At 51.0% G+C, this 15,230-nt stretch overlaps 1 protein-coding gene across 25 annotated transcripts in view, besides 3 other annotated features; it reads right to left on the bottom strand.

Moving 5' to 3' along the window:
- Window positions 1-15,230, bottom strand: part of CAMTA1 (calmodulin binding transcription activator 1) — a 984,253-nt gene that overhangs the window by 850,196 nt on the left and 118,827 nt on the right. The window lies entirely within an intron of this gene.
- Window positions 9,420-9,920: an enhancer, noted in NCBI's record as "H3K4me1 hESC enhancer chr1:6969651-6970151 (GRCh37/hg19 assembly coordinates)". NCBI's record gives its function as "activates a minimal SCP1, AML or CMV promoter by ChIP-STARR-seq in naive H9 embryonic stem cells {active_cell/tissue: H9 hESC(naive)}" and the evidence as "EXISTENCE:reporter gene assay evidence [ECO:0000049][PMID:30033119]".
- Window positions 9,921-10,421: an enhancer, noted in NCBI's record as "H3K4me1 hESC enhancer chr1:6969150-6969650 (GRCh37/hg19 assembly coordinates)". NCBI's record gives its function as "activates a minimal SCP1, AML or CMV promoter by ChIP-STARR-seq in naive H9 embryonic stem cells {active_cell/tissue: H9 hESC(naive)}" and the evidence as "EXISTENCE:reporter gene assay evidence [ECO:0000049][PMID:30033119]".
- Window positions 11,133-11,858: an enhancer, noted in NCBI's record as "H3K27ac-H3K4me1 hESC enhancer chr1:6967713-6968438 (GRCh37/hg19 assembly coordinates)". NCBI's record gives its function as "activates a minimal SCP1, AML or CMV promoter by ChIP-STARR-seq in naive H9 embryonic stem cells {active_cell/tissue: H9 hESC(naive)}" and the evidence as "EXISTENCE:reporter gene assay evidence [ECO:0000049][PMID:30033119]".

Raw genomic sequence — 15,230 nt, 5'->3', positions numbered from 1 at the left:
TGAAATTCCCTGTAGAAAGAGGAGATCTACCTCTTAAAATATACTCTACAAAAACTTGCCCTGGCTTGTCAGCTCAGACACCTAGCTCCAGCTTCCAGCAGCTCACTGGTCATGGCTGTCGCACACCCTTAACACAGCCCCACATGCCCATCCACCAGAGGCAGCATCCTCCTGCCTCAGAACCCCTGACTTGCCTGCCTTGCCTCTGGGGCCCACTCCTCCAGCCAGGCCCAGCAGGGCTGCAGGACCCCTGAGGGGATAGAGAGGTGAAGGATCAAACAAAAAGAATTCCTTCAAACCTGAGCAAAAAATGCCTTGCTCCCTAAGCCACGTCCCTCCTCCTGCCAGCATCTGGCCCTGTCAGAGGCAGGGCGGCTCACCACGGAGAGAAACACACAAACCTCCGGAAAAAGGTGTCAGCAGATCTGCACTTTCCAAAAACAGAGTGTTTTCAGGTCACAAAACAGAAAGACGCCAGCCCAAAACCACTGTGGGCTTCATTTCAAAAATGGTAAGGAGGCCTTCCAATGTTCAGCTCTTTGGCTTCTAGCTTGCAGGGTCGCCTCTCCTTTCTCTGTGGCCTGTGGTGCCTTTGGAGCGGCCACACCCTTGAATTTGAGGCCATGAGAGCGGCTAGTTCTGCTGGGCCCGATTCAGACCCTCCTTTCTTCTCTGCATCAAGTGGCAGCAAGCCACCCTCCAGCCACAGGGTGACAGGCTGGGGGAACGCGGTGGGCATGACTGAACTTGAGTGTTTTCTAACTCCCCAGGCGTCATCCACCAGGAAGTCCCAAGGAGCCCAGCCTCCCCTCCCTCTGCCCAACTCCTGTCATGGGCAGAGATGTGCAGCGATCCTGGGCCTGAGGCCCACGGGGGAAGTTCTGAGTTCCTCGGGAGGTGCTGTCGGCAAGGCAGGCTGGCGTTGATGGTTTCCCAATGCCAGATAAATACCGTTTTGAAGCCACAGTATTTCTCAAGCACAAATAGTACAGTAAAGCCGAGACATTTATATGCAATTGGGAGACATTTATCTGTGACAACATTCTATTCCAATGACTTTTCTATTACTGCCAATGATTAATGATGTAAATTCTGTCACTTGGGATGATGGATGCAGGGCAGCTGAGGGGCCTTTGCATAGATTACCCAAACTCTGTCTGCTCATTGGCTCCCAGGACAAATGTGGCCTGTGCTTCAGTCAAGCATAAATGTAAAGTTCTTTTAGATTAAAAAAATATTATTCTTCTTCAGTACTCTCCAGAAGCAGCTGGTTTAGGGCTGGGTGAAAGGTTTCTCCTCCTCCAATATGTCTTCCCTTTTCAGTGCCAGGGCTGCTGACATGCACTCCATTTAGGAATAATTGCATAATTCTTCCCAAACAGGAGCATGGGAGGCCTTCACCATTAGGAGCCACAGAAGGAAAGTTAGAGACAAGCAAGCAAGGCCCAAGAACTTGGGCATTTGGGGCCTTCTAGATGTGAGGCCTAACCCAGCCCCACCCAGCCTAGGTCCCAGACAGCATGGACACCTCTTGCCTCTCCACCTTGGTCATGTTGGTCCAGCTACCTGGAACGTCTTCGCTGTGACCCATGGCCTCCACCTGCTGAAATACTGTCCCTTGTTCACAGCACCAAAGATGGCATGTAGATGTCCCCCCCCGCCCCCGATGGGTTTTGCTTCTGCCCTTCCCCTCCTTGCTGCGTCTTTCTCGGGGCCCCCTCCCCCACCCCACTCTGCCCTCTCCTGTGGGTCTTCCTCTCTACTCCCAAATCTGTATTTCCTGGGCTATCCTTGGCTCTGAATTTCAAGCCCATAAATCCTACTGCAAAGCCGCACCTGGCTGTCTCAGGGCGGCCTCCAACTGAACTCTCCTCTGCTCCTCCTGGGTCATGGCAGTGGGTGCCAAAACAGAGACCTCAGGGCTGTCCTTAACGCCTCCCTTCCCCCCACCCTCAATGTCTGATCGATGGCCAAGTCCTACAGATTCCTTTTCTTACCAATCTCTTGAATCTGTCACTTCTCTCCAGCTCCATTGCCACACTCTGGGCCAACTGTCACCTAGGTTAATAATTGCAAGTTCTTGGTCTCTTAACAGTTTCCTCGCATCCAATCTTGCCACCCTGGGCTTCTCCAAGTCAGATATCTCATCAGCTGGCTCTCTCCTAGGCCCTCCACGGCACTTCATTTAAACCACCACGGCTTACCAGGCCCTGCATCCCGCCCACCTGCACACAACTCCACCCTCATCCTGCACCAGCCACACCCTCATTCCCCACACTGCAAACCCTCTGGCTTCCTCCAGTGTCATGAACAGGCTCATTCCCCACACTGCAAACCCTCTGGCTTCCTCCACTGTCATGAACATGCCACTCTCTCCCTGGATGCCATCTCTTTATAGGGCAACTCCCTCTGCCTGGAACAATCTTTCTCTCCCTGGCCCCCTTCACCTGGCTAACTCTCACTCATCCTTCATGTCTCAGCTTAGACACCACTTGCTCAGAGAAGTCTTCCCTGACCCACCCCACACAGACTACGTGGGCTTTTCTATGAGCTCCAGAATGGCCTGTAATTGTCCCCTCATGTACCTCAACAGGCCTCCGCCTCCCTACAGTGGAAGCTCACGGCAAGCTCAGGTCCACATTGGTCTTGTTCATCACCTGTACAGCTCAGCACCTGCTATGACATCTGCACGGAATAAGTGTCCATGACGTATCTATCTGCTCAATGGGTGAACAAAGCAGAAAACGTATCTACTGTGAGGCTACTTCCCCATCCCTCCCTAGAGTGCCAACTCCTGGAGGCCCAGGACCACAACCAGTTCATCTCTGGATGCCTAGGGAGCCCACCATGGGTCTCACACAGAGCAGGTGTTCAGAACAAGCTTGTGGAGAAAGTAGGAGAGAAGAAAGAAAAATCCTGATATAAAAGCACATGGAACCTAGAAAATCAGTGGCCTTATTCATACAGCAAAGTGATAAAAGTTTAAAGAAGGAGAGAGAATTGATTTGGAGTGTGCAGCAAACATGAGGGCCTGTAAGTCAAGCTGCCGTAAATGCTGGGGGAGAGCAGCCTGGTTTCCCTGCAGAAACTCGGAAAGCAGTTGTCATTCAGAGGTGGGGCGGGCCTTACAGGAACTCGGCCGGCGGCTCCTGGATCTGGATTCCTGGCACTCCTAACTCAATTTGGCCATCGTCTTAGTGTCCTTTCTTGGAAAACGGATGAGCTTTCTACTCTGTGATGCCCGGGAAGCGCCCTGGGCTCTGCGCTGACAGGTGGTGGAGCTGAATCCAGCCCAGGCAGGGTGAGACCCGGAGGTCTCTGTGGTCCTGAGGATTCCCACCCGATAGCAGGAGAAAGCAAAGAGGAAGAACACAAAGACATCACATGCCCCTGGCTCCCTTCTCGTCCCCTTCTCTGGCAGCCTGGTCGCCTCTGAGATGTCTGCACCTGGGAACAGACCGCGAACAGCACTCACAGGCATGCCCAGGAGACTCAGGGCTCCACCACCCACTCCAAGTGCCAGGGACCCACCAGAAAGCAGCTAGGGCACATTCAAGGGCTCCTAATGCACAGACCCCAGGGGATCAGTCCCCCATGCTGAAGTCTAAGAATGACCGATGGTGGGGTCAGAGACTCAGTTGTAGGATAGACGGTCTTGGAGAAGTCATCAGGGCCACCCCTGTCTGCAGGCCCCAGTCAGAGAGACAGGCTTCGCCAGCATATAGGATCACTGCTTGCTTAGAGACCATGAATGCTACTGACTCCATCTTCCTCACCACGCCAGTGGCCATGGCTGACAGGGCTGGAAACCAGAGGCCGGCTGCTGCTTCTGCTGTGATTCTCCTCCCTCTCCGGCAAGCCCTGTGATGAGCCCTCCACTGCACAGCCCTCCCTCCCACAGTCCTCTCCTTCTAGACCACGTTGTCCACTCTCTCTAGCTTCAGGCTGCACTGCTCCCACCTTCTTGAACACCTTGGCTCCACTAAAACCCTTCCGGCCTGGCTTCTTCTCTTCCTGTGAAATTTCTCAAACCACAGCCTGTACCAATGCCCCCACATCAGGAAGCTGGGCAGGAAAAGAATTAAAACCCAAGTCACCAAGAAGACAGGACAGGGAAATTATAAAATGCAGAAATCCAGGGTACTTATGAAATTACTAGATTTCTTGGCTGAGTGAATGCACATACCTAACCACAAAAATTATTTTCCAAGTTTGGCTTTTAGGTTCCTGGAGTGAAAGGAGTAAAAAAATCTAATCTCTGAAACCTTCATAAATATATGCTTTTCTTTTTTAATGAAACTACTTAGACGAATCCACTTTTGCCTGACAAAGTAGAGGAATCCAAAGTGTCTGGATTTTAAAAGCTTCCATTAAAGTGGCTTTTCTTTTTTCAAAAAGTAATGAATTGAAAAATAAATCAGAAGGCTTAATTAAGCCTGAGGCCCGTAAGAGGCAGCCAGGGCAAAGCTTCCTGACAAGCCCACAGAGCCAGAGCAGGGCCGAGCCTCCCGCTCTGCTTATTCTTGAAGCAGCTCCGGCCAAAGGCATGCCTTTGAATCGCACAGAATTAGAATTCAGCAGTGATTCTTTCAGGCAGTACAGTGTGTCTTTACTGGTGCTACAGCAGGCTCATAAATTAAGATTAAAAAGTTGGTCAGATGGAGACAAAAACGTGTTTCTGGGGAGAGGAGAAAAAAACGCAGAGTAACATCCCAGAGTCTGCAGGCTCCCAGCATCTCCCTGGCCACATGAGCGCCTCAGCCCAGCTAAACTAAAAGCCCCTGGCTCGTTCAAGCCAGACCTGGCCTTAAAGAGGGAAAAGGTCTCTGTCCCAACCATGTACATGTGCCACCCCTTCCTAGGGGCCTGCCTGGGAATAGGTTCCACCAGTGGGTAAACAGCACCCCACACAGCCTAACCACTAGTCGGAGGCCACAAAAAATGGCCATTGCATGGCCACTAGCTAGGGCAGCCGATAGCCGTGTGTGCATGTGCCTGTGAGAGAATCCGCCTCATCTCAGAGTACATATTCATTTATTTGAAAGCCTTATATAGCATCTGTTAAATATATCAAGTGCACAGAGGTAGAACAGTGAAAAAGTCAGAGATGGCCAGGTGTGGTGGTTCACGCCTGTAATCCCAGCACTCTGGGAGGCCAAGGCAGCAGATCACCTGAGGTAGGAGTTCAAGACCAGCCTGGCCGACATGGTGAAACCCCATCTCTACTAAAAATACAAAATTAGCAGGGCTTGGTGTCAGGCATCTGTAATCCCAGCTACTCGAGAGGCTGAGGCAGGAGAATCACTTGAACCCGGGAGGCAGAGGTTGCAGTGAGCCGAGATCACGCCGTTGCACTCCAGCCTGGGCAAAAAGAGCAAAACTCTATCTCAAAAAAAAAAAAAAAAAAAGAGATGAGCCCTGCCTTTTTGCAACCTACATTAATGTGAGGGAGGCAGATGCTCAAATGGATCATCTTAGAAATAGGTCGGTGTGTTTGTGCCCAGTGTCCCAAAAGCAGTACGAGATGATATGAGTGAAGAAGCTGGCCTTGTAGCCTCTTTACTCCTTTCTCAGGACACTGATGGAAATCCTGTGCTCCAGACAAAAATACTACTCATTTGCCTCCAAATTCATCATTACCTGCTCCTACGCCTGTACTCATGCAGTCCCTTCCACCAGGAAGGCCCCCATCTCTACCTTTCAAACATCCTACTCTGCCTTAAGAACCCACATCCACGCTGCCTCTTTTGTGATGCATCTAGTAGTCCTCTCCTCCCACAATCTCCCTCCTGAGGACCTTCCTCAGCACCATCTCTGGAACTGAGCACAGGGCCTGGCACAGCACAGTTTGTGCTGAATCAAACAGAAACGCTCATCCATAAAGCTACTTGAAAATACTCAGGAAAAGAAGAGATCAGCACCCAGGGCAGGAAGAAACTTCTGGGAAGAAGTCAATCTGAGTCTATGCAGGAGGAAGCTGGGGGCAGGGGGAAAGGGAGGCAAGGTACCCCACGCAGGGGGTCAAGCAGGGTGCTGACCACTAGGGGAAGAATGCCTCGTTACCATGATGGCTCTGCTGGGGAGGGCACCCCAACAAGGCTGGAGGGCCAGGGAACCCCAAAAGCAGGCAGATCTGGGAGGTTTCTGCAGGCTCCTCAGCAGAGCTCTGACCGTCCTGATGGAAACAGTCTGGCCATGTGGCACTGCACACACTGGGTCAGAGCAAGCGGAGGGTGGGGAGGCCAACTCACCCTCCAGGCCAAGGGGACTTGGGGCCAAGCAGTGGCCGCCAGAGCAAAGACAGGGCATGGACCTAAAGGAGAAACTGGCCTCTAAAATACGACCCCTTCCTCCACATCCTTTTGTCCCCAGAAGTGTTTACAAACATGAAGAGGAAGGAAAGCACTTAGGGAATTTATTTAGAGTGGAGGAACCTGAGCACAGATCATGTAAATCACTCAAGGTCACGGCATGCTGATGGCAGCCTGGGGAGACCAAGTTGTAGCCAAAAACAGGGAGGTGCTGGCAAGGCAATAACTCCACGCTGGGCGCTGGAGTTCACAGGGCCTGGGCTGGGTTCAAATCCTGCTTCTGTGACTGGCCACACAACCTCCTGGTGCCCAAGCTTCCCTCCCCACACAGTGGAAACAGAAACAACTCCCAGCTGCCGACTGGGTAGTGGGAGGATTCAGTGACGGGCATGGAGGCGGGCAGCACGCCTGGCTCCCAGCTCAAGCTCAGTGTGGGGCAGTATGACAGCGCCTCCCCTGTGAACTGGGGTAGTCTTCTGCTGAGAGGGAGGCAGAGGTGGGGCATGAGGGAGCTGGGAGCAGGCATCCGCCTGGAGGACAGGCTGCTGGGAGGGCCGACCAAAATCCTCCTCCCCTGCGGAGGGACAGAGCCCCTCCCTAAGCCAGACAGTTATCTAACGGAAACATGAACTTCTTTACTATGGCATGAGAAAGACCAAGGTTATTTTGAAAAGTACCAAGAAATGTTAATTCCCCGGGGCTCTTTATGTAAAGACAGACTAAAATCCAGAGGATAGAGTGGTCCCCAGGAGACTGACAGGAAGAAAGCCACTTTAATATTTCATTAGTGTCCCATTAGCAAGACAACACACATTTTCACACTTGGTGACTTCTTGGGAATAATTTCTCATTCAGAAACAAAGGGGGATGCTACTGCTGCTTACCCCGCTGGCCTGCTAAGCATCCTGAAGCAGCCAGTTGGAAAGAACTTGACCTTCAGGGTTACAGCTACTCAAGCCAATGAACTCCATTGTGCAAGACTTCCTGGGGAGGCTCCTATGAAACCCACTAATCCAGGGATTGAAAGCCAAGCAATTGAGCTGCAAAAGTAAAGCAAGTCTGTCTTATGTTCCTTAAGCCAGGCTCACACTGCTCAGCCCTCCAGGCCTGTCACACTAGAGCCACCCACCAATCCGGGGATCCTACAAACAACACCCTTCAGCTATAGCCTGAAAAGAAGGGAAGGGAGAGGGAAGGGGAGGGAAAGATAAGAGAAAGAAGGGAAAGAGAGCAGGGATTCAGGAAGACAAAGGGAGTTGATCTTAGCAGCTAGCATTGTGCAGATCACTGTCACATTCAGCTGCTCATCAAATATCTCCTGTGCCCTCAGTGTGTGCCAGGAATATGCTTGATGCAGGGCTCGCGGAACAGAGCCCGCAGACAGCAAGCGAGGAAACACATGAGGGAATCACTCGAAGTTGTTAATTTAGGTTCCACAAGAGACCAGAGAGGTGGTTCTCGGCCTTCCCATTTTTCAGATGAGGAGCTCAGCCAGCACCTTACCAGCGGGGTTTCTGGGGGACTTGGTAAAGGGAGGGGTGGATCTGGCCTCGGACAGGGGGCTTCTCAGCCCTATGAAGGTCTACCTGTCTTACAGATCATTTACAGAGATGGCTCAAACATGAAGATCATTTACAGAGATGGCTCAAACATGAAGATCATTTACAGAGATGGCTCAAACACAGGAAGATCACTTACAGAGATGGCTCAAACACAGGAAGACACTGCACAGGGCCTTTGTTTTCTGGTTTCTGGCTTTGTGGCTCATATCTCTCTCTCCGTGTTGACGATAATTACTCACAGGCAGGAGGATGGCTCAGCCCCTTCTCCTCATCCCCCACAAGGTCACAGGGAGGTCGAAGGAGCTGACACCAGGTACTGTCCTCTCAGCTCCAGTGGGCTTCTTCATGCAGGTGGCCTCCTGGGCCCCAACTCCCTCCAAGGACCACCTCACAGAGCCAGCCTGCCATTTGCCACCAGCTCCCAGTCCTGAGCTAACGTCCTCACCACGTTCAAGGAGCAGAGGGCACCTGGTCTCCAAGGACACCCTCCCCTCTTTCCCTCCAATTTGGTCTATTAACTTAAAACAAAGGAAGCTGGCCAGGAGTGGTAGGCACAGGGGATGTCTGAGAGGATGTAATTAATGCAGCTGCTCCAAACGGAAGGTAACACCTTGTCTCCTCATTAGCAGATGTACTGCAATTTAGGATGACATCCTGGACGCGAGCAATGGGGACACACAGCTCCCTGGCAAGTCCACTCCTTGCCCGCCACTTCCATTTCCTCACTGTTGAGCAATTATGAACAAAGCACCCCCAGCAGAAGGTTCTGAGCTGCTGAAGTCCAGCCACAGGGTTCTAGCAGCCCAGGGCCTGGGTCCAAAGCTCCACGGATCCAGCAACCTTGGGTTCCCACATATAGCCCCAGTAGGTGACAGGCAAGCACACCTCCGCCTTTGAAATATTTCCTCATTAAATATTCAGCATGGGTTCCTGACCCTGTTTGCTGCGCTCTATAAACAGAAAAGGCACAAGATGGACTGCAAGGACACAATGACCTTCCCAGATAGTGACATGTTGGAGGGACTCAAGGTATGCAGAGACCCGCTTTCCAACAGCTCAGGCCCAAGTCAAGTTACATTAGCATTTTCCTTTCAAGAAACAAGACCAGCATTTCCCTCCCCACCCTGCTCCCCTCAAAAAATGAGCTGAGCCTCCAATGTAGCAAAAACATTTCAGTAGAGGGAATGAACCCTGCAAAGTTACGTTCCAGCCTGGCTAAAAAGAAGTTTGGGGCCACCCAGGTGACTCTGTGCCTATGCAGAAGCTGAAAGAAAACTGGGGTAAAAAGAAGAAAAAAACAGTTGCCATACTGGTGTTTTGAGACTACAGCTTCTCCTTTCAAACCAGCAGGTCACCTAGATCAAGCCCATGAAGGCTTTGGAATCATCTGAATAGTGAACCTTAATTATGACCCAGCAGGAGAACAATAAACAAGGTGCCCCTTGCATTGCTGGGCAGCCACCTGGGCCCTATAACGGGTACTAGTGCCTTAGCATGTCAACTCCAAGAGGACAGCAAGTGGCTTGGCCTGGACCCAAACACCTAGTCAATATATAGATAAAGCCAAAAGCAAACAAGGATTGCTGCAAATTCCACAATGGCACATTGTGAGAAAGGCCAACTGATTTTCAGGATTGGTGACCTGGACCAGGTTAGCTGCTCCAGAGAGTTCCATACAGGCTGGGCCACCCTTGGGGCAACCAGCCTAAGTACATGCAGAGGCAGGAAAACTTCCTTGGCTTCAGCTTAACACCAGAGGGGCCAAAGCCAAAAGTCACCACTATCCTTGCTTAGAGCTGAGCCTGAAAACCGGGAGACCCAGGAAGTTCACTCAGGAGTCTTTTCCCCAAGTCTTTTTGTGCACACAGATTAATTGTATCTGGCTCATCCTCAAGGTCACAGAATCAGTCCAGGACAGAGCTGAATGTACCCAGGCCACCTCCTGTGGGTCACCCCACCTGCTCCAGTTAGTCCCTCATTGCAAACTCACAGGCAGGCAGAGGCCCCTTAGGAGACCAGAGCCCTCCACGCCCCATGGGCTGCGCCAATCCCATACAGCCAAACCCCTGTGAGGCACAGCTCTACCGCCTGCTGTGTCTGCCAGCCCAAGGGTCTGCTGTAGAGCCCACTGCAGGGTAGAGGCCCCCCGCCCCAACCTGAGAACTGTTACCCTGCTGGAGATGGGCCTTTTCTGGCTCTGAATTTCCAAATTGTGCCTGCTTCCAACCTCCCTCGTGATGCCAGAAGCACTTCTTTGTCATTTTTAGGGAGTTCCTGAGAATGAAATAACTATACTTTTGCTTAGAAATTCACAAGTATTCGGAAGTAATTCAGACATACTGTATCCAAATATTAGGTACTAGGTATTATTAAGTAGTATTAGGTGACTTTGTGTGTCCTTTCATCTAAATTATTAAAAGTCCCAAGGATTCTCCAGTCCACATCTAATACTTCAGATGATCAAAGCAGACAAATAAATTGAGTTTTCTTTTAGAGGCCAGGAAATCCTTGTTTTCTTGAGGAGTAGAAGAGAACGTAGCAAGTCAGCCTGCTTAATCCTACCTGTCACCATTGGAAAAAAATTTTTAAAAGGATTATGATATAAAATGATGCAGATGCTTGTGGTTATTATTGTACTTCGCCATGTTATTCTTTGATTCGATGCTTTTTAATTAAATTTAAATTGATCGAGCAGTTTCAGCCATGACTTCTCAATACTCATGTGTGATTCTGAAGATGCCAGCATCTGGCTAAATTAATATTGCACACTTACTTGTCAATAACAACTCCTGGTGGAGAACTGCACATTCAGGGGCCCTGGCACAGGCTGTCCCACTGAGCAGCTGCAGGGGAGGCGAAGCCAGGAGCACTTCCACGAAGACTCCTACCTAGCTCTGGGGTTGAGCTCACAATGCCATAACCCCAGAGTCTCATGAAGGGTATGTTATCAAAGTTGAACCAAGCATATTTTTAAAAATTTTCATGTCCATTTCCCTAACTCTCTACCCCAAGAAAAGGAACGAGGACTATAATCCACAACTATGAACCTGGGCTGCACCAAACCCTGGAGAAGATGACAGAGCCACTTTCCTAAGAGCCTCCAGTTGACAGTAGACCATCAGGAGGTGATCGCGTTGCCAGTTCACTGACATGAAAACCTTTTCTTGGGGAAAGCATGCTCAACTTTTACTTTAAATATACTTCTTGAATATTCTGGCTTCACACTTGCAGCGAGCAGCGGGCAGCATTTCCAGAGCCAGGAGATAAACTTGAGAGCAGAGGGCATGGTGGAGAAACAAGGCAAGAACCCTGGCCTGTCAGCCTGCTTGCCGTGGGCACTGCTGGACACAAGAGGCGTGAAGGGAGTGAGGGGGAGTAACGGCCCCTCTGCGTGTGCCTTGGCACCCTGGAGGGGACAGGACGTGGGATGATGACGGATAGCATTAAGTGCCTGGAAGAAAATGATGCAGGCAGAAGGGGATGGGATGTCTTCTTCATAAAGGGTGACGAGCAAAGAAGGGGTTCTCAAGTCACAGGGTGGGCACTGTCTGGGGGTCCAGGCAGAAGGGACAGCAACTTACTTGGCACGTCTGAGGGAGAAAAAATGGCCAGCCTGGCTCCAGTAGGCAAGGAAAAAGTGACAAGACATGAGGCCACGAGGCTGGCGAGGGAGCCGGAAGGCAGACCACCACGGCAATAGGGCTGGGAGGCCTCTGGGTTTTGTGGGCACTGTGATGGGCAGGCAGGAATGACAGTGGGGCGGGAGAGGCTGGAACTGCGCCAGGTCTGAGGACCACAGTGGCTCCCAGGTGGGGCAGGAGCAGAAGGGCTGGACAGGAAGGGCCCCACCGAGGGCTGACTGGTCTGCCAGTCACGGGGCACATGCCCACGCTACTTCTGGAGTGGCTGAGGGCACTCCTCCCAGGCCAGGGGTGGTCGTCCTTACGCCCTGGGCAGGCTGGCCCCGTACCTGCTGCTCGACTCAGAACCTTCAGTCTTACTGGGAAGAGACTATGGACCCAGGGGACCACCGGCTCACCATTCAGCAGGAGTCCCATGAAGCCCCGAACGGTGCCTGGCTCACTGAAGGTCATAGAGCGGCGGTCTGGACAAGCCAGAATTCTTCAGTTGCCTTCATGTGAAACTCCCCCAGGAGCATGCCCTGCTGGGGAAGTGTTCTTGAGTCAAGCTGCAGCAACCCACTCACACTTGAAAACCTCTGCATGCACCCTGCGTAGAAACACGGGACAGCGGGGGGAGGGCAGGAGGGGGCGCCGGGAGAGCTGCTGCTGAGACTGCAAGTTCGTTTGCCATGTCTCCTTACAACAAAGTTCCTAGAGGTCAGGGACTATGTCCCTCCATCCATCCCAGAGCCCAGATGTCTGGCGACTCAGCAAACACTGAATGTTGATGATGCTGCTCGGCCTCCAGAACATCCTATAACTCTTACTGTTTTACCAACTCAAGGACACAGCAGAAACCACACACCGGATTTTTAGAAAGCAAACAAAACTGAAAAGCAATTAGAACAGACAAATCACATATATTTAAATACTGAGATCTTAAATGATGCCTGCCTATCCCGAAGATGGATCTCAATTTCCTCTTCAGACCCGAGACTTCCTGCGAGAGAACAAAGGCCATGTCACAGGGCTGGGACGCGGGGGATGGGAGAGACAACAGCTCCCACCTCTACAGCGGGTCACAACTGCTTCTCCTTAGTTGCCCACATGGCTAAGGCAGAAAGGTTTTAAACTTAGCTAAAATACATATTTTGATTTACTTTAGAAACTTGAACTGGCCCCAGGCAAATAATAACTACATGAGAATATTTCATTTAGCACCTTCCTCTTTCACTCCCTTTAGGGAAAAGACTGCTGCACTCGAAAATGAGGGGGAGGGAAACTTAAAGGAAAAATATATTCGAACAACAGCCAGAGTGGGGAAGGTAGGCACACATTTCTGAGCCAAGTTCCAAGCTCCTGTTGCTCCAATTTGCCTTTGAAACAATTCCACTTTGCCTTCTGTTGCTTGAACAATAATTATTAAAGGTATCAATTAAAAGTGCCCAACTCCATTGCTCCCATGGCCAAAGTCCCTGGCACATCTCCCGCCATTGCCTGCAGCACCTGCCACCACCCTGATTTTCTGTGTCAGTGGGGTAGAGCCAGTCTAGGATAGAGCCTCTTCTTTGGTTGATTTAAGGCTGGGAGAAGGGCCACTACCCATGGCCCTGCCACAGTGAGGAAGGAAAAGCAGAGCCTTTTCTGCCATCTCTAAGTAGCTAGCATCAGTAGCCTAGTCACAACAAATGCACTGGGCTCAGTATTGGGAAGACAGTCCTTTATACAAATTTGGCACCTCTATATCCAGAAAGACCCCTTGGCAGGGGGTTTCTCCCCATTCTTCTCCCTCCTCCCTCATCTTGCCAGGAGGAGGAGGACCTGGGAGTACCATTTGACATGACACGAAAGAGGGAATCCCTCTTCTTAGCATCACCCACTGGAAAGCTTCCAGATAAAACAGCAGTCGCTCCTGGCTTGTCAGAAAAGACCGTGGGTGACTTGGAGGGCTCACGATCCTAAGCAGGTGCTGGGCTCCTGTGGCCAGAGCCTCAGAGTTCCCACAGGCAACACCAGCTCCACATCCCTTCAGGACATCTATCTGAAGGAGCAGAGGCGTGTGTGGGAGCTGCAGGCACAGAACCAGCAGCAGGAGCCACTCCAGGGAGGATGAAGCAGCACTTCCCATAGGGTCCACAGGCAGCAACTCTGCACTCTGGCAACCCTGCACCGAGCACACTCTGTATATGAGGCCCTGTATCTGGCCCCAGAACACGCAATAAGAGATGCAGGCACTAACCCAAAGAGCTCTAAGTATGAGGACAGATACTTGCATGAACTATTAATAAGAGACAAAGCACAATGCAAACGCAAAGCAGGGGGCAGGGGCACGGACAATACAGAGAAGAGGGAGAGTTTAACTGAAACTTGAATGTGAAGCCTTTACCCAAGTGCAGAAGGGCCAAGGGACTGCATGGACAAAGGGTTCCACTAGGAGCTGAAGCTTTATTATGAGAGGGAAGCGGGGCTGGTGGCAGGGGTGGGGCAAGACAGAGGTGGATGGTAAAGAAAGGAGGAGCAGGCCGGGCATAGTGGCTCGCGCCTGTAATCCCAATATTTTGGGAGGCCGAAGCAGGTGGATCACCTGAGGTCAGGAGTTCAACACCAGCCCTGGCCAACATGGTGAAACCCTGTCTCTACTAAAAACACAAAAATTAGCCAGGTGTGGTTGCGCACACCTATAATCCTACCTACTCAGGAGGCTGAGGCAGGAGAATTGCTCGAACCCGGGAGGTGGAGGTTGCAGTGAGCCAAGATTGCACCACTGCACTCTAGCCTGGGCAACAGGAACAAAACACCGTCTCAAAAAAAAAAAAAAAAAAAAAAGGAACAAGGCAAGGAGACCCAGGAATAGTTCAGGGACTCACGAGGGCCCAAGCTGGGGCAGTGGAGATGGAGAAGATGGGAGAAAACATGAAGTTCACAGGCAGAATTTATGGATCTTCATTCATGACTCCAGGGAGTGCCACACAGCAACAGAGCGGACCCCAGAGTGGCAAGCGTGGGCCACTGGCCTCAGGACACACAGCAAACCACACGAATAACCTGTTGGAGAAAGAATGTTTGGCTTTGGACACACAGCGAGTCGGAGTGTTCAGCGTGCAATACGAAACAAAGGCTTAGGCCAGGTGTGGCGGCTCACGCCTGTAATCCCAGCAGTTTGGAAGGCTGAGGCGGGAGGATCACTTGAGCTCAGGAGTTCGAGATCAGTCTAGGCAACACAGCAAGACCTCGTCTCTGCCAAAAATTAAAAAAAAAAAAAAAAAAAAAAAAAAAAAAAATTAGCTGGGCATGGTGGCGCATGCCTGTAGTTCCAGATATCGAGTGGCTGAGGTGGGAGGACTGCTTGAGCCTGGAAGTTTGAGGCTGCTGCGGCTGCTGTGAGCTATGTTGTTCATGCTACTGCATTCCAGCCTGGGGCGATAGAGGAAGACTCTGTCTCAAAAATTAAAAAAAAAAAAAGAAAGAAAGAAAAAAAAAGGCTTAAAGTTCAGGGGAGGAGAGCCTAAAGATATAGATGTGGGTGTCATTGGCAGATAAACAGAAATTTAAATCAGAAAACAGTCCAGAGAGCTCTTAGTAAAAGAAAAGAGAGCCAAGAATATAAAGCTCAGGAGAGCCATCTCAGAGGGTGCCCTTGAAAGGGGCAGGGACCAGATGGTGAGGCAGGAAGACGGTGTCCCAGGGCTGAGGGAGAGACAGGTCTCCTTTCAAGAAAAGGACAGCTAACATCA

The sequence above is a fragment of the Homo sapiens genome, chromosome 1 (genome assembly GCF_000001405.40).
Source record: "Homo sapiens chromosome 1, GRCh38.p14 Primary Assembly".
Taxonomy (NCBI): Eukaryota; Metazoa; Chordata; class Mammalia; order Primates; family Hominidae; genus Homo; species Homo sapiens.
This window is presented reverse-complemented; position numbering and strand designations above follow the sequence as displayed.